Genomic DNA, 22,046 nt, shown 5'->3' with positions numbered 1-22,046 from the left:
AGACAGTGCACATGGCAATCACATCATAGTGAGAACTGACTCTGCTAGCATTCTGTGACAGCAACTGTGGTGTCCTCATCCAGCCAGTTCTGTGGCATTATTTTGAGAATTCATTCTGGCAATACAAGCTTCTAAGTCTGTTTCTAGCCCTCCTGACAAGTCTGTAATCTGCCCAATATCTTTTTTTAAAAAATTCCTTTCTTCTTTAAGTCAACCAGTCAGTTTCTGTAACTTGCAACTTGGAACCCTGACTGATATAGAGCTAACTCCTGGGGCACCAGGCTAGAACTTTCACATATCATCTGCAGGCAGCAGGGGACCATTTAGACTTCTAAGGGTGTCATGACAATCACAGAAGTGTTCTAAGAACATCAAACTGTCAGTGGTATGTAGTATGAACTAGAAGAAGATGGATCTTGAAGAAGAAAAAAGATCAGGTAGGAAGGTTTTACACCTACACAGATGAGAAGTAATGCAGTAATGAAGGACTGAGCTAGGAGATTTGTAACTAGAATGAAGAAAAGAGGTCTATTTCTAATTCCTTGTCTGGTTTTCCACAGGGAATTTGGTCTAAAATGAGGGAAAATTGTGCTTCTGTAGAAAATGCATTATTTATATCACACCTTTCCATGTTATCTTATTCTAGTCTTTCATAGTCTTCCAGCTATTTTACAACTCTGTATATTGTGGACAACTGATTGCAATGCAAAGTAATTCTTGTCTGTAGATATGTAAATTATGCCTACTAGAAGTTCTATTGACTTTCTTCCCCACTGTGGAAGAGGCCAGTTTTGCCTCCATTTGCACATTTGTTTTAACATTTCTGATCCATAAATTAACATTTACAAAATTATCCCTTGAACTGGTTGAAACACCTCACCAGTTTCCTCTTTAATGAATCAAATAAAACCTTTACCTTGTGTTTGTATTTATATCTGTAGGAGACCTTGTTTTTGAAAAATTTAAGCCTTCATTTCTCTCTTTGTACATGGCTTCTTGAAAAAAAAGCTCCAAAATGGACATAAGTTACTGTCATTCCTGCTATTATCAATTGATGTTTAACTAGAAGTAAGTGTCTAGTACATGACAGGATTTATCTTAAAGAGGCTGTAGAGGAGGAAAAACTTTCCCTATACTCTCTTAGGTTCAGTATCTGGAGATTGCAAATTAAACAGAGAAAAGAAAGATTAACAGGAGAAAAGGTTATTTCACATGGACACAAGGAAGTGGGAGACTCACAGAATAAAAGTGAAAACGCCAAAGTTGTGGTTAGACCTAGGGACTTACATACTATTTTAGCAAAGGGTGATAAAGTATGAAGAAAGGACTAGACAAAGGAAAAGAGGAGTTTGGCTTCTAGAGAGGGTAACTTGTGGGAAGGTGACTAGGAAATTGTTATGGTCTGAATATGATTTGTCCCCACCAAAACTCATGTTGAGGCTTGGTCCCTAATGTGGCAGTGCTGGGAGGTGGTACCTTTAAAAGGTGATTAGAGGCCAGGCGCAGTGGCTTATGCCTGTAATTCCAGCACTTTGGGAGGCCGAGGTGGGCCGATCATGATGTCAAGAGATCGAGACCAGCCTGGCCAACATGGTGAAACCCCGTCTCTACTAAAAATACAAAAATTAGCTGAGCTTGGTGGTGCGTGCCTGTAGTCCCAGCTACTCAGGAGGCTGAGGCAGGAGAATCACTTGAACCTGGGAGGCGGAGGTTGCAGTGAGCCGAGATCATGCCACTACACTCCAGCCTGACGACAGAGCAAGATTCCGTCTCAAAAAAAAAAAAAAAAAAGTGGGGGGGGTGATTAGATTGTTAAAATGGACTAATGTCTTTTTTGTGAGACTGGGTTAGTTCTTGCAGGGATGGATTAGTTCTCATGGGAATGGATAAGTTCCCAAGAAAGCAGTTGTTATAAGGTGAGATTGACTCTCATGTTTTGCCTTTTTTTGCACATGCCCAGTTCCCCTTACATTATCTGCTATGTTTTGATGAAGCAAAGGCCCTCACTAGAAACCACCAGATGGGGCGACCAAATCTTGAACTTCCCAGCCTACAGAACCATGAGCGAAATAAACCTTTTTTTAAAAACAAAAATTAAATCTGTATCAGAAATTCTGTTATAACAACACAAAAATGAACTAAGAAATGTATGGTAAATAAGCATTATTTACTAAAGTCTGTTATGTAGACTCAGTCATCTCAAGTGATAAGAATTGTCTCCTGAGTCTTTCTTCTCTTCCTCTTATGGAAAAAGGAGGTCACCTATACTTTGCAAGTGTGGGTTTCCTTTACAAAGATTTCCTTTACAAAGGGGAAATTTATGCCCTTTTAAGCAGAAAAGGGAATGGCCTAGAGTGTCTCCTATGTTTGCTGTTTCTTAATTGCCTTCAGTTCAAAATAATCCTTATGCCAAAGTGACATATTTTGGGGTGATATTCTGATCCCTTCCAACTGCCGTAACAAAGTACCACAGACTGGAAGACTTTCACAAAGCTGACTCATTTATATGTAAAGTATTTGTCACTCAGTGTCCTAAATACATAGAAGTGCATGAGGGATTAAAATCCCTGCATATCCGATAGAGCCCTAAGTGGATCTCAATCAATATGAATGAATGGATGGGTGATTATGTTTATAGCGCCTGTCTTATGACTGCATGCTAAATCCTTTTCAGTGGACTCCAAGGAAGTGACCCAATTCTCTGGTTATATTAGAATTTTGTTATATGGAATATAGCTTAAAATAAGTGGACCATCAGCTGAAAGTAAGAAATCTTTGAGTCTTACAGCTATTTCATTGAAATAGAATTTGATTTGTACCACAACCATAAAAGGTGGTCTAGCAGTGCAAGATATTCTTCTATGGGATCATGAATACTGATCTATTTTTTACACAGATATATCTCAGAAGCTAACATTCAGAAATGTGCTAACACAATATGTCACAATATGTTGTTTAACAAAAATATAGAAAAAAGCCATATCTGCCACAAATGAGGAGTGTCATTAAAGCATCAGCTACAAGTATTCACAGGCTTCTGACTTGGCAATTGGCTGCAGAGAACCACTTACTCAAGCAATTCCTCACTATTAGCTTTTGCTTGTTGCTCTTGGCTTCAGCACAAAGTTGCTTTTAAAAGCAGGTGACAAAATGAAAGCCTCAAGTATATGACCTTATTTCAGGTCATTTGTAACTTCTCAGATTGTTGGTTAAAAAAAATGGTTTGCAAAGAGTATTAATAGGCTTGCATGGTTTTCATAAACCACCTGAATAAGGTGCTTCTCAGAAGGAACCATGCCATTCATAAAGTAAGGACTCTGGAGCCAGATGGAATGGGTGCGAAGTATGGCTCTAACATCTCCTAGCTGTTTGATGCTGAGAAAATTATTTAAATCTCCCTATGTCTTGGTTACTTACCAGTAAATCTCAGAATCCTCATGGGGAGTGAATATGTAAAGCACTTAGCATAAAGTCTGGTCCACAGAAATGCTATATAAGTATTTACTGATAATATGGAGATGTGTATTTATTGATTGAAAAAAGAATTCCTGCAAACTACAATGGCTCTGGCTGCTTCCCAACATGGGGAAGAGAAGGGGCAGCCTCAACATTGCCAACAGCTGGGGAGGACCAAGATGACTGGCCATTCGCTTCTGTAATACAATATTTCCTCTCTCCCCTCCACCTTTCCCACGTTTCTGGGAAAAGTGCCCAATAATGAAAACAAGTTGTTAGGAGGACCTCCCATGTGATATGAGAAGGATGGTACCTGATCTGGAGCCCATTCTTCAGGGGAAATTTTCTGATTCTTTGTCAGCTTAGTGGGAATGATCAAAATGTCTTTTGATAATGGTTTCTGTTCATTTTAGCAAATCTCATCCCAAATTGCGAACATAAAAAAAAGTGGATAGCATCTTCTTTTATTTCCTTTGCTAAATAGTTGAGAAGCATGAGATAGGTCCTTACAACTTCAGGCTTGTCTTCAAGAGTAAGTCCAAAAAAGAGGTAAACAGATTTCCTGCTTCAGGGACAGGCTGACAAGGGTTAACATTTTGCTGAGGACTCCATTTGTGTGCTCTGTAAGGAAACAGGCAATGCCTCACAGGATCCCATTACCCAAACAGGAGAAGCTAGGAGCCTTGGGAAGTATTTAGCCGGGGCATGAATGGGTCACATAACTTCATATAACTTGCAACACAGCATTTGTTTAACATTCAAGTAAGATTAGAGGGGAAAAAAGGTGTGTGCGCGCGCACACACACACACACACACACACAGAAAGAGAAGGAGGAACTTAAACCAGCTATGGTAAAGACAACCTAAAGGTCAAAATTGTAATATTAAATAAATCTTACAAGATTTTATAAACCGTAATTTATTGTCTATGTGCAACTGACATTTTAGCTCTTGGTTTAATACCTGACACTTCAAAGTATTCTTGTAGAAGAATGGTTGATAACCCTCTTACACAGTATAATTGGAATTCTGCATGTTAGAACATTTGGTTTCTGAAAGATTTTTGTAAATGTTAATAGCTGTCTTTTAAAATGGTGTAAGTGTGAAATGCTATGAAAAGCAAAGGTTTAAATGTCACTCTGTCTATAATTTTCATATTGTAAAAACTAAATAAGTTTTTTAAAATGGAAAACCTAAAAGCCTGCTGCAAGTTTGAAGATATCAGCTCATTCATTCTTCCTTTTTGAAATGGATATGACATTTAACCAAATGAGCCAAATTTAGAATTAAAGGTGATCTGTTTTTTCTAAAATTTAATATTGAACATTTCGCCTAAACTGAGAAGCAATTATATTTACAGAGTCCCTACTTCTTCCCACACTGCATGAGCTTATGATTAAAGATCTGCCTTTAAAGTATTCATCTGATGAGCCACCCAGCTACACATAGTCATTACCATCTGAATTTCCATTCTGGACTCCAGCCAGTCTGGCTGAGGCAGTATCTGGGCTCTTTGTATAGAGGCAGAGCCAATGCATTTCTTCCCAGAGTACATTTCTTCCCACTATGAAAATAAAAAATGCCTTTCCCCCCTTCTCCTTTCTCCTGTTTTTTTTTTTTTTTTTTTTTTTTCTCAGGTTAGCTTTTACTTCTTTGTGAATATTTACTGTGTAAGCAGGAAAGGGTTCATTTCCGTCCATTACCCCTCCTTGGGAATCTGAATTCTGCATCATCTCTGGTACTTGGCAGCCTGCGTACATAGGCCAAGAGTGAGCATCCTACAAACAAGAAAATAAATAAACCTGATACACCTAGAATAGGGTCCGAACATTACTGCTCAAACCCCATTTCACCTAAGTCCTGTTTAATGGACCAGTGTATTTGGTGTTGGGTATGTGGCTGCTATTAGAAATTTGTTACTTTTCATAAGTACCAAAGGTTGCAGGGGAATCAATTAATAAAAATGTAAATGAGATGGCATTCAAGAATTTCCCTCTAATCCATCACACTCATTCAATGCAGTAGTGTTACAATATGTTTTGCTGGTTGAAAGAGAAAGGAGCCCAGTTATTGTTCAAACGCCAGGAAGTACAAGTAACTTGTACCTAACTTACCTCTGCTCCTGTAAGCACATGCTCTAGATCTCAGCATCCTTTGCCTTGTGCAGCTAACAAGAGAAAGTCAGTTGGGTACAGCTGGTTAATACATACTAAGGCTATTTTCACAGAATCATTTATTCATTCTCCCTCAGCCTTTAACTCTATGAATAGAAACCAGTTTTAGGCTAAGCTCCTATTAGAGGCAGAGTCAAGAGATACAGTATTGGCCAAATCCAATATTTTCTATTGGGATAAATTGGGGATGTATGTAATCTGTTCTTCTTTCATTTTAACTTACATCTTAAGAATATTATATCACTTTGACCCAGTACACTGGACAATGCCTCCCTCTTCACCACAGGGAAGGAAAAAAGATGCATCCTTCTATATGAAATTGGGATTTTTTTTATATCCTGGGAGAGGCCTTAGTAAGTGATTAACCCTGTTATTTAATTATGACAGAGGAGCTGAGGTTCTCAAACTTTAGCAAGCATCAGAATCACCTGGAGGGTTTGTTAAAACACAGATTGCTGAGTCCTGTCCCAGTTTCTGAGTCAGTAGATCTAGAACAGGGCTGAGAATGTGCATTTCTAAAAAGTTTCCAGATGGTTCTGATGCTGCCTTTTCCACACTTTGAGAACCACGGAAATAGTGTGTTTTTCCAGCACCAAAGCCAAGGATTAACTGGGTTATAGCTAACAACCCTAAATAGCACACTCACTAAGTCACCTAAGGGCATACTTTATATTCTGCTTTTCCCGGTTTACTAAAGAGACAGCACCACACTGGATGATTTACAAAGATCATTTTTAATGGCATGGGTCATGGACTGGTAAAACTGCTTAAAAATGTTCCCAACTAAATTATTGTGAGCATGTTCTATTTGGGGCTTTAATTAATCATTCATTCCTATTTTTCTTCCTGAAAAACAAAAATAATAATATAATAACTTCCATTTGTTAATTTCTTCCTACAATGCTACTGGCTCTGTGTTGCCTGGTTCCCATCAGTTTACCTCATTCAACCTTCACTGCAATCAAGGAGGAAGCTTTATCATCCCTATCTGACAGAACTGAGGACATGGCTGAAGGAGATTAAAAGCACATTTGGAAATACCGCTTTAGATACTCTACAAGTTAACCTTGGAATAAACCAGACTATCAGAGGGCATTGTCACTCACTGACGGATTTCTTTCATTCCTCTCTGCTTTGGCATTAGGCAGTCAGCCACATCAAGAGACTTCATAAGAAACAGCCCTGTAACTCATTTGTTGCTTTCCTGTAAGAATGTTGTCAAGGACATTATTTACTTCATTACAAAGGGTCTTCTTTGTGCTGGAGAAACTTCTCTCAGATCTCTGTGCCAGGAAGAATGGTGTTTCTCTCAAACACTGGGTTTGATATTACAGATAGTATAAACTATATATCCAGGCACATCCTCCTTTAGTGAGTATATACAAACTGGCTTCACTTCATTTTTTTCATCTTCCAACTTCTCCATAATAATATTTACTTTTAAAAATGTTCTTAACAATGAATATGACCAAGACAATTTGAGGAAACCAATCATAAACTTTGTGTCAATATAGTAAGCATGTTTCCTGCAGGGAGATACCACTGTTCCCACTAAAATAGAACACAACAAAAGGAGGCAGGAGAGAAATGAATGACTTAGGACCTGTCTAGGTTGAAAAGGCAAACTAGAAGTGGGGCACACCTAACTTGTTTAAAAAGACTTTGTCAACTATTATTTGTGTACTCTTGGCATTTCTGTGTTCTCCTCATTCCTATTTCATTCCTATTCCCCTTTAATATTTCCTTTACATACCTGATACCTTCCCTCCCAAAAATGGTGTGTGTCTATGTAGTTCCTTGATGATTTTGTCAACGAATAATAAACCCTGGGTTTTGGATAAGGAGGTGAAAAGAAAGGGCTCTGCTTGATTCTGCACAGGGCTATACACCACAGGGCGAGGAAAAAAGGAAAATCCAAATATGTTTAGTCAGGATGTTTTCCTAAACTATTGAAGAAATCTTATCTGGCCTCCTCTTAAAATATGTAAGAACTGTTTCCAGCTGCTTGTTATTTGGCTGTGCTTATTTTAGACCAAAGCCAATAAAAAAAATGAGACTCTTCCCACAGTTTACTTATTAATTATACAGGAGAAAATAGTAGCTTAACAGGAGAACTCTGGTGGACACCCTTTTACCCAACTTAGCAATACTACCAGTGGGATGAACAGGCACCATGTGTCTGCTTGTGTGACAGTGTGACAAAACACAATACCACTTACCTTTCATTCCTGAGGGGAGAGAAAAGTGCATCCTGAATCTAATTATAGGGAAACATGGGATAAACCCAAACTGAGGGACATTCTACAAAATAAATGGCCTGTATTCTTCAAAACAATATCATGAAAGACAAAAAAAGGTAAGAAAACATTCCAGATTAAAGGAGATTAAAGAGTCATAAAAACTAAACCTAACACAAGATCCCAGATTGGGCTCTGAACCAGGGAGAAAAATGCTATAAAGAATATTATTGGAGTAGTAGCTCGTGCCTGTAGTCCCAGATACTCATGGGGGAGGCTAAGGAGGGAGGATAGCTTGATCCCAGGAGTTCAAGGCTGCAATGAGCTATGAGTAGAACACTGCACTCCAGCCTAGGCATCACAGCTAAACCCTGCCACATATCCCCCAACCAAGGAAAAGATATTTTTGAAGCCTCTGGCAAAATTAGAATAAAGATCTGTAGATTTGATAAGGGATTGTATTAATATTTCACATTTTGATAATTATAACATTGTTATGTGAGCAAATATTCATGTTTTTAGGAAATACACACTGAACTATTTAGGGGTAAAGAAGAACTGTGCCTACAGCTTACCCTCAAATGATTCAGAAAAATAGAATCACATAATCATTTTATGTAGATGGTAGAGATAAATATAGACATAGGTGCATTTACCCCATGTTCACGATGCAGCACGTTCATCACACAGCACGATGGGATAGATGGATGGATTCACAGATGGATGGATAGTTAAAGAGATGAAAGTAAATGAGGCAAAAGGTTAAAAACTGCGAATCCAGGTGAAGAGTATACAGTAGTTCTTTGTACTATTATTGCAATTTTCTCTGTTTGAAATTATCACAAAATGTTTGAGGTTTGTTTTGGAAAAAATAATAGCCACAGAGTATTTTTTTTCCCTAAGTAATAGTGCATGAAGTGTTGTTTGTGATGTGGCAAAGCAAATAGCTGCAAAATAAAGTTATTCACATAACAAGTATGGTCATCTTAAAAGCATGATGCCTAGTGAAAACCACTTCCTTTCATGCACAGACTTGGCTAAATCTTTTTAAAAATTTTTTGAAGCACTGGGGTTGATTATTCACACCACAGAATTCTCACGTGGTAGCAATGTTATGCACGCCATCTTTAAAACATGCTTGGCTCTCAAAAAGCCCTTCCCCCTACCCTCTAAAAAGCACTGGAACACACCAAAGCCTAGGAGGTACCAGCTGGAGTCATATATTCTGTTTTCTCTGACAAGGGTAGTGCCATTATAATCCAACAGGCCCATGTGAATGTGCGGCAAACATTCGCTTCGATTTTTATTGTGGAGCATGACAGAAAAGAACATTTGTTCCTTTTCATTCCTGAATGTTTTCATGGTGACATTTCTCAATCTGTGGGTTTGGGTGTGTGTGTGTGTGCGTGTGTGTGTGTGTGTGTTTACTGCTTTCTTTTCCCTCAAAGAGATCACCCAGTGACCTTGAAATCTGCACTGGCATTTCGCTGGCAGGAAGGGAAGCTCCCTCTTTTCATTTGCAAAATGTATAACAATTTGATCATCCTTAAACTTCTAAAAGGTTAATTATGCTCTCTTCATGAGTATCGAATAAAAACCTGTTTTATCTCTGCCCAAATGAAACCCACAGGGCTCACCCTCCCTCCAGCTCTGCCAGAAGCCCGAGTCCTTCCGGCTGTCAATTAACCACTATCAACTCCTAGATCTGTGTGAGCTGCTGTAGATTTTCTCATCCCAAAACTATGACAGCCCTCATTTGTTAGAGCTGTGTGATGACTTTAAAAATTTCTCAGCAGGAAAGTGTTACCAGCTTTGGGTGTGATGGAAAGAAAAGGGAAGCATGAGGAGCAAGCTGGAGAGAAAGAAAGAGAAAGATAAAAAGGTGTTGGATTACTAAAACTTCATTTCACTCTAAAGATTTCCACACCCAAACAAGAATTCAAACAACATAACGAAAATTGGAGGGAAACGCTAATAAACATAACAACCATAAAAATTAAAAGCAAATTTAAAATATTTAAGCTCTGCTGCAGCCAGAAGCATTAGATTCTTGCTAGTTCTCAAAGAAGGTACACTTCTGCACACTCAACGATGACGGTGCCCGTGTGTCAACACTCGTGGTGGGAGTGGTCAACAAGACTTTGTATGGAAAAGGCTCAACATCTACCCCCGCTCGCCTTTAACATTTCTAAGCTGCTACTATTTCTTGGCCATAAACAGCCTCTTTAGTTATAAGCCAGAAGCCATATCTTTAAAAGTAAGTCTGAGAGAGTTACATTTCATTTTTATTACAAGAAAACGTCATCTTTCAAAGAAAAGCAATGGCAGAGAATGGCAGCTCATGCTAGGGGGCAGGAAATCCTGCTTTTGCCTGACACTCATGGCTCCTTGTTTTAATAACTCATACTATTTCACATAAGCCAACCAAGCATTATTATATTTGAAAACATAAACAGAAGATGGAACAAGCAACATAGTTTTTTTCCAGAGGAAGCATGTTACTATACACAACAGCTCAAGTGTTTTAACAATTGCGTAATTACCAAGATACCCTACAGAGCCCGATCTTTTGACTAGACTGAAGCGTGTTATGTGTGTAAAAATAAAAAAGGCCTCTGTGCAACTTCACCCCATGTTCACCATGCAGTGAGTAAATGGGTGATAAAACAGCAAGTCTCTTAGTCTCTTATTTCTTCTTTTCTTTTTCTTTCTTTCTTCCTTCCTTCCTTTCTTTCTTTCTCTTTCCCTCCCTCCTTTCCTTCCTTCTTTCTTTCCTTCCTTCTTTCTTTTTCTTTCCTTCTTTCTTTCTTTCTTCATCTCATGTTCACCATGCAGTGAGTAAATGGGTGATAGAACAGCAAGTCTCTTAGTCTCTTATTTCTTTTTTCTCTTTTCTTTTTCTCTCTTTCTCTTTTTCTTTCTTTCCTTCCTTCCTTCCTTCCTTCCTTCCTTCCTTCCTTCCTTCCTTCCTTCCTTCTTTCCTTCCTTCTTTCTTTGCTTTTCAGGTGTCACCCAGGTGGGGGTACAGTGGCATGATCATAGCTCATAGCCTCAAACTCCTGGGTTCAAGTGATCCTCCCACCTCAGCCAATGTGGGGATAGAGATGCTCACCACCATACCCAGCTAACTTTTCTCTTTTTTGTAGACACAGGGGTCTCATTATGTTGCTCAGGCTTGTATTGAGCTCCTGGGCTCAAGCAATCCTCCTGCCTCAGCCTTCCAAATAATGCCTGAGATTACTGGTGCAAGCCACCAGGCCTGGCCCTTTATTTCTTCAGCAACGTCTCTGTAAGAAGATCTAGTGGAGACTACAACTTTCCAGTGATTTCATGAAAAATGAAATCATTTTTACCAAGAAGCACTAATGCAAATTCGGAGTTTTGGTTGTTCTTCTTCCTGGATGTGTGAGTATGTGTGTGTGGCAATATACGTAACATAAAACTTACCAATTTTACTATTTTCAAATGTATATTAAACACATTTCAAGTGGTGTTAAGTACATTCACAATGTTGTAGGTACTTCACCACATCCATCTCTAGAACTTTTTCGTCATCCCAAAGAGAAACTCCCCCATTACCCCTTTCCCTACCCACTGGTAACCTCTGCTCTACATCCTGTGTCAATGAATTTGCCATTTTAGGTACCTCACATAAATTAAATTATATAATGTTTGTCCTTCTGTGCCTGGCTTATTTTACTTAGCATGTTTTCAAGATTCATCGACATTGTAGCATGTATCAGAATCACATTTCTGTTTTTAAGGCTAAACATTCATATATATATATATATATATATATATATATATATATATATATATATATATTTGTATGCCACATTTTGTTTATCCATTCATCTGTTGATGGGCATTTGGGTTATTTCCACCTTTTGATTATCATGAATAATGCTGCTATGAACATTGGTGTGTTTGAGTCCCTACTTTCAATTCTTTGGGATATATACCTAGAAGCGGAATTATAAAGTATATACTGTAGTTTTTATGTACAATAATTGTGTTAGCCAGGCCAACACACATGTGTTTCTTTATGTGAGGTAAAAAAATAGAATATAAATTTTACTTAGCAAATATTGGATATTATCATGCTTACATTTCATTTCAACATGGTTTTTTTGTTGTTACTCAAGTATTTGACTAATTATAGGAAGATTTTAAAACTTTAGAAATGGGGGAAGAAACTGAATTCACGCTCTTTCTAATTTTCTTTTAGCAAAAATATAGAGTTTAGGTCTGTCTTAGTCTGTTTTGTGTTGCTATAACAGAATACTTAAAACTGGCCAATTTTTTTTTTTTTTCCGAGATGGAGCCTAGCCCTGTCGCCCAGGCTGGAGCACAGTGGTGCGATCTCGGCTCGCTACAAGCTCCACCTCCCGGGTTCAAGCGATTCTCCTGCCTCAGCCTCCCAAGTAGCTGGGATTACAGATTCACGCCTCCATGCCCAGCTAATTTTTATATTTTTAGTAGAGATGGGGTTTCACCATGTTGGCCAGGCTGGTCTCAAACTCCTGACCTCGTGATCCACCCCCCGCCAGCCTCCCAAAGTGCTGGGATTACAGGCGTGAGCCACCACACCCGGCCTGAAACTGGCTAATTTGTTTTTAAAGATTTATTTAGCTCATGGTTCTGCAGGCTGGGAAGTTCAAGATTGGGCAGCTACATCTGGTGGCTTCTGGTGAATGCCTCATGCTGCATCAGAACATGGCAGAGAAACAAAAGGGGAAGCAGGGCTGGGCACGGTGGTTCACACCTGTAATCCCAGCACTTTGGGAGGCCAAGGCAGGCAGATCACCTGAGGTCTGGAGTTTGAGACCAGCCTGACCAACATGGAGAAACCCCATTGCTACTAAAAATACAAAATTAGCTGGGTGTGGTAGCACATGCCTGTCATCTCAGCTATTCTCGGGAGGCTGAGGCAGGAAAATCGCTTGAACCTTGGAGGCAGAGGTTGCTGTGAGCCAAGATTGTGCCATTGTACTCCAGCCTGGGCAACAAGAGCCAAACTCTGTCTCAAAAAAAAAAAGGGGGGGGGAGGGAAGCAGGCACTTGCCAAAAAGGGCAAACATTAGAGGTGTCCTCACTTTGTAACTACCTGCATTCTTGGTAACTAACCCAGTCCCTTGAGAGTGAGAACTCACTCTTGAGACAAAGGCATTGAGACCTCTTAATGACCTAATTGCTGTTTTTTTTGTTTTTTTATTTTTTTGAGACAGAGTCTTGCTCTGTTGCCCAGGTGGGAGTGCAGTGGCGCGATCTCGGCTCACTGCAAGCTCCACCTCCCAGGTTCATGCCATTCTCCTGCCTCAGCCTCCCAAATAGCTGGGACTACAGGTGCCCGCCACCACGCCCAGCTAATTTTTTTTTTTTTGGTATTTTTAGTAGAGATGGGGTTTCACCATGTTAGCCAGGATGGTCTCCATCTCCTAACCTCGTGATCTGCCCGCCTCGGTCTCCCGAAGTGCTGAGATTACAGGCGTGAGCCACCGTGCCTGGCGCCTAATTGCCTTTTAAAGGTACCACCTCCCAACACTGCCACACTGGGGACCAAGCCTCAACATGAATTTTCGTGGGGACAAATCATATTCAAACAATAGTAAGGTCCAAACTAAAGCACTAACATGGGCAATAAGTATTTTCCTCTGAGTGGTGCATGGAGGAAGAACTTCATGTTTATCAAGAGTTATTATCAGTTGGCAGGGACAGTTGACAAGGTTTCCAACTGCACCCTTCTGTATGCCACTTTTCTCCCTGTAGTGGGAAGATTTTCCACTGCCCACGCAGGGTGTCATTTGGCAAACTGTCCCCCGTTCTTCCTTTTATATTTTTTTCTTTTTAGAGACAAGGTCTTGCTCTGTCACCCAAACTGGAGTACAATGGGATGATCTTCGCTCACTGCAACCTCTACCCCACAGGCTCAAGCAATCCTTCCACCTGAGCCTCCTGAGTAGCTGAGACCACAAGCACATACCACCACAATCAGCCAATTTTTAAGTTTTTTGGAGAGATAAGGTCTCCCTGTGTTGCCCAGGCTGGGCTCAAGTGATCCACCCACATTGGCCTCCCAAAGTGCTAAGATTACAGGCATGAGCCACTACATCTGACCACTGAGCCACCAAGCCCAGCCATCCTTCTTTCCTCCCTACAACCCACTATGCCTTTTGTGAACCAGATAATGCCACTGTTCTGCTCTCAGCTAATGAGAACAGATGGGCACATAATCCAAGGAGGATCAGTCTACAGATTGGCTAGGTGACCAGTGGCCTATGATCCAGGTTTTGGATTGCAAACGTGAACAGAACTAACTGGACTCCTATCTCAGGACATGAGAATCAGAAAACTGTTAATGAATCATGGAGCCACCGAAGAAGTGGGCAAAGATGGTACTAAGAATGCTATGAGATTGTCAGGTTTGGAAAGGACACTGTAAGCCAAAGTTACATGCAAGCTGAAATTATGAGGGAAAAGAGAAAGTCATATATTAGAGAAAAAATGCATCAGATACACAGGGAGAAGTAGATACATCTTGTGAGATGACACAGTCCATGAGGATGATGGCAGAGCTGCTTGCAAGAGCTGCCTTTGTGTCTAAGTCTTGCCATTTCAAGGTCTCTCCATGTATTTCTTTACCAATAAACCCTTTTGTTGAGTTAACTGGAGTAAGTCTCTGTCCCTTGCAGTTTAATAAACCTAATTGAAACTCTCTCTTCTATTGTTTCTTCTTCTATATCTACCATCTTCCAATGTCTCTTATTATCCTTCTAAGCCCCTTTCTTTCTTTTTTCTTCTTTTCTCCCCCATGCCTCATCCCTACCTATGCCTCAGGCATACTGCTAGGGCCCATCCTTATAGAAGACCCTAAAAAATGGAAAAGAAATAACACAGCAGTCTGGATATTTTTTAAGTGGCAACTTTATTGAGATGTGTATCATAATTCAGTATTTTAAAGTATACAATTTAGTGGGTTTTAGTATATTCAGAGTTGTACAGTCATCACAACTGTTTAATTTTAGAACATTTTCATCATCCCAAAAAGAAATCCCATACCCATAAGCAGTCATTCTCCATTTCCTCCTCCCCCTAGTCTCTGAGAACCACCAATCTACTTTCTGTCTCTACAAAGTTGCTTATTCTGGGCATTTCATATAAATACATTATGTACAAAATACAATAATTACAATACATGAGTAGCTTCTTTCACTTAGCATAATGTTTTCAAGGTTTTTCCATGTTGTTGCATGTACGAGTACTTCATTTCATTTCATCATTGAATAATATTCCATTGTATGGGTATACCACATTTTGCTAATTCACTCATATGTTGATAGGCCTTTGGGTTGTTTCCAGTTTGGGGCTGTTATGAATACTCCTGCTGTGAATATCTGCATACAGGTTTTTGTGTAGACATGTTTTCAGTTATCTTTGGTATATACCTAGGAATGGAATCGTTGGGTCATATGGCATAATGCAATATATTTAGTTGTCTTTTTGCTCCCCTTTCCCTTCTGCAGACCTTTGGCAGGTTTTGCAGCTATCACTCTATTATTTTCTTTATATTTTCTTTGCACGTTCCTGTTTTCAGTACATCTTTCCATTTTTCTCTTCTCTCTACTTTTCCTTTTATCTCATTATTTGAGTACATTTTTTAAAAAAACTCATCCTTAAGTAGCTTTCCCTGATGGCTTTTATTATATTTCCTTTACAATATTTTTCTTCTCTCTCCCTGTTGCTGATAATGCTTGAATAAACCCAGCTTCACCTAGAGGGAAATAAGTATCATGTTAGATACTTATTTCCCTCTAGGAATAGAATGACTTGAAGTAGTTCCGTAGAGTAAGAACTTCATAAACAGAAGCACATATTTAAGGGTGCATAGACAGAAGACTACAGTAGCTCATATTTAAATGACCATTGTGGTCATATTTTTATTCCTGTATTTGCCAAGTCTGACCACAAAACTTGATGTTGACCTGCAGTCTCTTCCATCCATCCATCTAAACAAACTGCAAATACAATGTGACTCCCAGGTAATTGCTGCGCTGCTGCTATAGGCTATGTCACCATCAGCAGTACTAACCCTTTGCCTCGGGCACCATATGAACAGTGACAGGCGAATCACCCTGATGAGATGAAGAACTCTAAGTGGATTGAGGGAGGCCTTTGACTCATCCCAGCCCCACAGCTTCCCACTCAGATGTGCTCTTACATTATTCCCACTGTAAACTCAAGTCAGAAGCCGAAAAGCACCAATTTTGCTCAGGGAGATGATTCAGTATTTTTAAAGTTTTTGACTGCTGACCAATTAAAAACCAGATGATACTGTTAACAACCTCTAAATAAGCCACGATTTAGAACCATAGAAGGCACCAAAGCACCTACCAGCCCTCCATGCTCAGTGTGAGTTTGAGAGAAATTCAAAGATAATTACAATGATGAGGAGGATGCTGATGACCTTAGGGATACTGGGCATGACTCACATCATTAACTGGAAAGCAGCAAATTCTGTTTCCTAAATATATCTCCAGTGAGCCTCCTATTTACTCCATTTCAGTATTTTTTTTCAAGATTCTGAAATAGTATCCATTTCCAGTTAATGATTTGACTGCTGCCCAATGTCCCTAAAGCCTTCACCATCATCTTTACCATTGTAATTATCATTGAATGTTTTTATACTCATACTGGGTACGGCTGCATATTAGATGAAGTAATGTGGCTGATTTCACATGTAACTTAAAAAGCATAGTTTCATCCATATTTAGTCAAACCACGTAGTTTATGCTATTGAAAATCTACCATTACTAAGACATTTGTTAACAAGCACTTTGCTAAGCCTTTCAGTCTGTGAATGGGGAAGTTGACACATTTTTCAAAAGGGAAAGCCACACAAGCTCATATTCCTAAAATTCATTAATATCATCATTTTGTAAAAGCCATTGGAGATTTTTCAGGACAAGGAGTGACATAAAGAAGCCTGATCCCCAAATTGGTTGGCATTGCCCTTAACTTACAATTTTGAATACTATTCATTGTGTCAGGCAATAGGACTTTTGAGGGTATGGTGGATACGAACAGTAATGAGTTTTGCTTTTATTTTAATTTTTGTGCTCTTTATTATCCAATATACCAAACCCCTTTCCAAATAAAGAGCTGGTGCCAATATCAGTCAGGGATTTTCTATCCATGAGTGTATTCTTATTCCTGTGTGATCAGACTTCAGAAAGAGTTCTAAAACAAGCAGTGCTGGTGGTGCTGGATTTTAGAGCAGAGATGCTATAAAAAGTGCACATTAGAGAAGTTTTGGATAACACAGCATGATGCAAATTGCTACCATACGCATCACTTACTGGAACCACGCCGATCTCAGCAGAGGGGACAGGAGTGACATCACCAGCACTGTGACTTGAACCACCCTCAGGAAAACACAGCTGATGGGACAGCAATGGTTGTAACAGCACAGAGACCTAGCAATGCACGCCATGTGAGACCAATCAAGAAGCAGTTGCTGGAGTTCTCAGTTTCATTTCTCAAATTTTATAGCTAGACCACATAAAAAAATTTATAAGAGAAGCCTGGGACATTTGGAGGCAATGAAGGGAAGTGGCACACTGAGCATCATTTTATTTTGTTCTTATCAGGTAAGAAATCACCAGAAATGAAAGCTTTCATAGTATCAGCGTTAATAACAAAATGACCTGTACAACAAGAACAGTTCAAGGGCTACTCTGTCCATTTCCTATGCCAAATAGCTCTTGCATTAACACTCTTGCTCTCTTCCCTAAAAGCTCACAGTGTTGAAATTAGAGAAGCCCCAGGGGTTACAACAGGCCAGAATACTGGGACAGACCATATCTAAATGATGCCAGACACTGAGAAATGCTATCAAGGACCAGCATTTTAAAAAATACCTAGAGAATTATCGAAATTTGTTCTGGCTTATTTTATTTTATTTTATTAGTATTTTTTGAGATAGTCTTGCTCTGTCACCTAGGCTGGAGTATAGTGGTGTGATCTCGGCTCACTGCAACCTCCACCTCCCGGGTTCAAGCAATTCTCTTGCCTCAGCCCCCCAAGTAGCTGGGATTACACGTGCACACCACTACACCCAGCTAATTTTCATATTTTAGTAGAGATGGCGTTTCTCCATGTTGGCCAGGCTGGTCTCAAACTCCTGACCTCAGGTGATTCGCCTGCCTTGGCCTCCCAAAGTGCTGGGATTACAGGTGTGAGCCACCACGCCTGGCCCTGATTTATTTTAAATTTAGTGTCAGCTCTCTGGCAATCTCAACTTCTCCTCTTTCTCAATCCAGTGGTTGGCTGGACATTCATTCTCTTAATACTCAGATGCAACCACTAGCTGACCATGAACTGACTCTGTTTCCTTTTGTTCAAAAATATTTATTAAATACGTTCTATGTGCCAGGTACTGACTAGGTGCTGGAGATGAAATGATTAACAAAACAAACATGATCCTTGCCCTCATGTTGTTTATATATTTACTTGTAGGGGAAGAGTAAGGGATATCAACCGAGTGCCACTCAAAAATGTAAGTAGGAACCACTGTTGTAGGAAAACAAAACAAAACAGGTGTTATGAATGAGTGTATGGGAGGAACATGCTTGGTCAGGGAAGACCATACCAGGAAATAGAACCAGATACCTCTTGCCACCTTCTCTTGTAGTGGCATCATCCATGATCCCTTCGTTCTATTGCCAGGACCATGGCAAGAGCCTTTGAAGCAGATTTTCTGATTCACATCCTTATCCCCAACTAGTTCATTTCCATATAGCAGCCAGAGGGAGCCTCCCAAAATGCATGGGAGGTAGTTTCTCTTTTTTTGAGACAGAGTCTTGCTCTGTCATCCAGGCTGGAGTACACTGGCGCAATCTCAGCTCACTGCAACCTCGCCTCCCGGGTTCAAATGATCCTTCCACCTCAGCCTCCCGAGTAGCTGGGATTACAGGTATGCACCACCACACCTGGCTAAGTTTTTTGTATTTTCCTAGAGATGGGTTTTCACCATTTTGGCCAGGCTGGTCTCGAACTCCTGACCTCAAGTGATCCACCCACCTCGGCCTCCCAAAGTTCTAGAATTACAAGAATGGACCACTGCGCCCAGCTCATGGGAGGTAATTTCCTTCCCCTGCTTGAACTTGTAGTGTAAAGATTAAAGTCCTTTCATGGCCTTCAAGGCCCTAGAAGACCTGACGTCCTGCTATCTCTCTGCCCTCATCTCCAACCACTGTGTTTCTGCCACACCGGCCTCTTTGTTGTTCTTCAAAAGACCGAGACTGACCCTTTCTCAGGGCCTTCCAAATTGTGGCGCCTCCTCCAACAAAGCTCTTCCCCCAGATGTCTGCAGAGTGTCCCCTTCACTTAACACAGACTCTACTGAAATGTCACTTTGCCAGGTCCGCCTTTCCTGCCAATCTGTATAAATGAGGAGCGTCCCACCAGCACTCTCAGGCCCCCACTCGGCTTTCATTTTCTGTACCATACGATATATTGTGTTTCATTTACTTATTGTCTGTTTTTTCCCACTAATGTGCAAACTCATGAAAACAGGGAGCAAACTATGAGGAAAAGCTGAGCAGAGGGAGCAGCGTGTGGGAAATCCTGAGACAGGAGAGCTTGGTGTGCTGAGCCACTGACAGCATTGTGGCTTTATGATTTATCTGGAACCACAGGTGCCTCCAACTCTGAGAACTGATCAAGGGCTTGGACAAAAGAGTGAAAATACCACTAGGAAAAAAAGAGTCCCCTCTGTGCAAAAAGAAGTCCAGATACATAGAGGAAGAGAGGGAACAAGAAGAGAGAACTCAACTTCCACTGCTCAGCAAGGCACAAAAAAGATCATGCTTTAAGAAAGAAATTCTCATTAAATTTCATGATTATTGTTTGTTCTTTATTTTCCTGATAAGATCAAATGAAAAACACCTGCCTTTAAAAAAATTCCTTTGAGAAAGTTGGTTAGGAGAGATAGTTGCTTTAGTATGACTCAGTAGCCCACATTTTCAATATCTCTCACCCAGTCTTCATCATTGCCAGGCACTTGTTAAGTTTACAGTGCCATTTTTTATGATAAAAGTTAACAAAAATGTATCAGAAATGAATTATAATCATTTTATTTAACTATTTTTTTCTGGGTGCACTGTGCATTGAACAAACATTGAGTATCTACTAAATGCCAGGCCCTGGGTTAAGGTGCCAGGGACACGGGGACTCTGCCTTCAAGGGACATCCTGGTCTACCAGCAAGTCAGGTAAAATACCAAAGATAACAGAATTGGTGACAAGGCTACGACAGGTAAACTGATCTCGTAAACCTGAACTGGAAGGAGAATCAAACATAACACTTCCTGAATCTTGAAACAGGAGCAAGCATCACTAAGGCCAAAATTGGGGGAAGACTCTTACAGGTGGAGAGAGCCAAGGAGCAAAGCTCTGAAAACACCAGAGAACAAGAAGTCCTAGAGGCCCGGTGGCTCATGTCTGTAATCCCAGCACTTTGGGAGAGTAGTACTTTGGGATGGCTGGAGGCCAGGAGTCTGAGACCAGCCTGGAAAACATAGTGAGACCTTGTCTCTACTTAAAAAAAAAATTAGTGGGGTGCAGTGGTGTGTGACTGTAGTCCCAGCTACTCAGGAGGCTGAGGCAGGAGGATCACCTGAGCCCAGGAGTTTGAGGTTACAGTGAGCTATGATTGAGCCAATGCACTCCAGCTTAGGCAACAGCAAAACTTTGTCTCAAAAAAAGAAAAGAAAAGAAAAGCCCTAATGGAGGAATCCTTTAATTATGTGCATCAGGGACAGGCCATTAATGGGCTGTAATTTTAAAAACCAGTTAAAATGAGGGAGCACACAACACGCACACACACAAAAGTGTACACTTCCCTCAAATATTTAAATACTCATTAGCCACTTTAAAAGACATAGGACCTCCACATTGACCATGGACTACCACATGGGCTTTCTTATATAAATCACACCCAAAATAGATCACCAATTTTTTTTCTGTAAGAGAAACTTAATCACATTTATGAAGCAATCTGAATGTAAAACACTTCTAGATGTCTAGGATTCCCTCACCCTAATATTCACAGTAGTCTCTACCACATCTAATCAAATGCATTTCCCTTAAAGCAACTTCATGATGCCAAGTTTTTCCAGCACTTTCAACTTAGTTTTCATTGTAATAACAAGTTTCTTTTGGATCTCATATTTTATTTGTTTGAATAAATTTTAATTAAATGTAATAATTACAATGGCAATTACAACTTGCATAAACAGGTTCAGGAACAAATGCAACCAGCTTCATGAAGCAGACAACTTAATGGGTAGGAGAAGACGGTAAGACCATACAGCAAGCTTGTCCAACCAGCTGCCCAAGGGCCACATGTGGCCCAGGATGGCTTTGAATGTGGCCCAACACAAATTTGTAAACTTTCTTAAAACATTATGAGTTTTTTAGTGTTTTTGTTTGTCTTAGCTCATCAGCTATCATTAGTGTTAGTGTGTTTTATGTGTGTCCTGAGACAATTCTTCTTTCAGGGTGGCCCTGGGGAGCCAAAAGATTGGACATTGCTGCGGTAGAGTAACTAGCCTTCAGCTCTAAATCAACCATGTTTTCTATGGGTTCCTCTCCTTAATAGCTAGTACCTAAGAACTAGGTAATGCTAACATTTTTATCAAGAGGATGCAAACTACTTAGCATCCTCTCTTACATCTCAGTCAATTCACCATATGTTTTATATCTATTATGTGCAGAGATTTACAATAGATTGAACAGGAGGGTTTAAATATAAATGAAAGGACTATTCAATAGCACAATAGGGTGACTATAGTCAATAATAACTTAATTTTACATTTAAAAATAACTTAAAGAGTGTAAATGGATTGTTTGTAACTCAAAGGATAAATACTTGAGGGGATGGATACCCCATTCTCCATGATGTGCTTACTTCATATTGCATGCCTATATCAAAACATTTCATGTACCCCATAAATATACACACCTATTATGTACCCAGAAAAGATAATAAAAATAAATGAAAGGGAAAAAAAGACATTATTGACCTTAAAAGGTCTCTAGTATTATTGTACAAATAACTACCATCATCATTGTTATTATCTGACATTCATTGACTACCTACTTTATGTTAGGCATTACGC

The 22,046-nt window shown here is 39.8% G+C and overlaps 1 long non-coding RNA gene across 1 annotated transcript; it reads left to right on the top strand.

The window, feature by feature from the left end:
• The first annotated feature begins 364 nt into the window (after positions 1 to 364).
• LOC105379157 (uncharacterized) lies at positions 365 to 7,691 on the top strand. The gene is made up of 2 exons (NR_188329.1): positions 365 to 437; positions 6,566 to 7,691. It is a non-coding gene; the product is annotated as an uncharacterized LOC105379157 (long non-coding RNA).
• Positions 7,692 to 22,046: the final 14,355 nt, after the last annotated feature.

This window comes from Homo sapiens, chromosome 5, assembly GCF_000001405.40.
Source record: "Homo sapiens chromosome 5, GRCh38.p14 Primary Assembly".
NCBI classification, from domain to species: domain Eukaryota; kingdom Metazoa; phylum Chordata; class Mammalia; order Primates; family Hominidae; genus Homo; species Homo sapiens.
The sequence above is the reverse complement of the archived record's forward strand: the minus strand, read 5'-3'. Positions and strand labels throughout refer to the sequence as shown.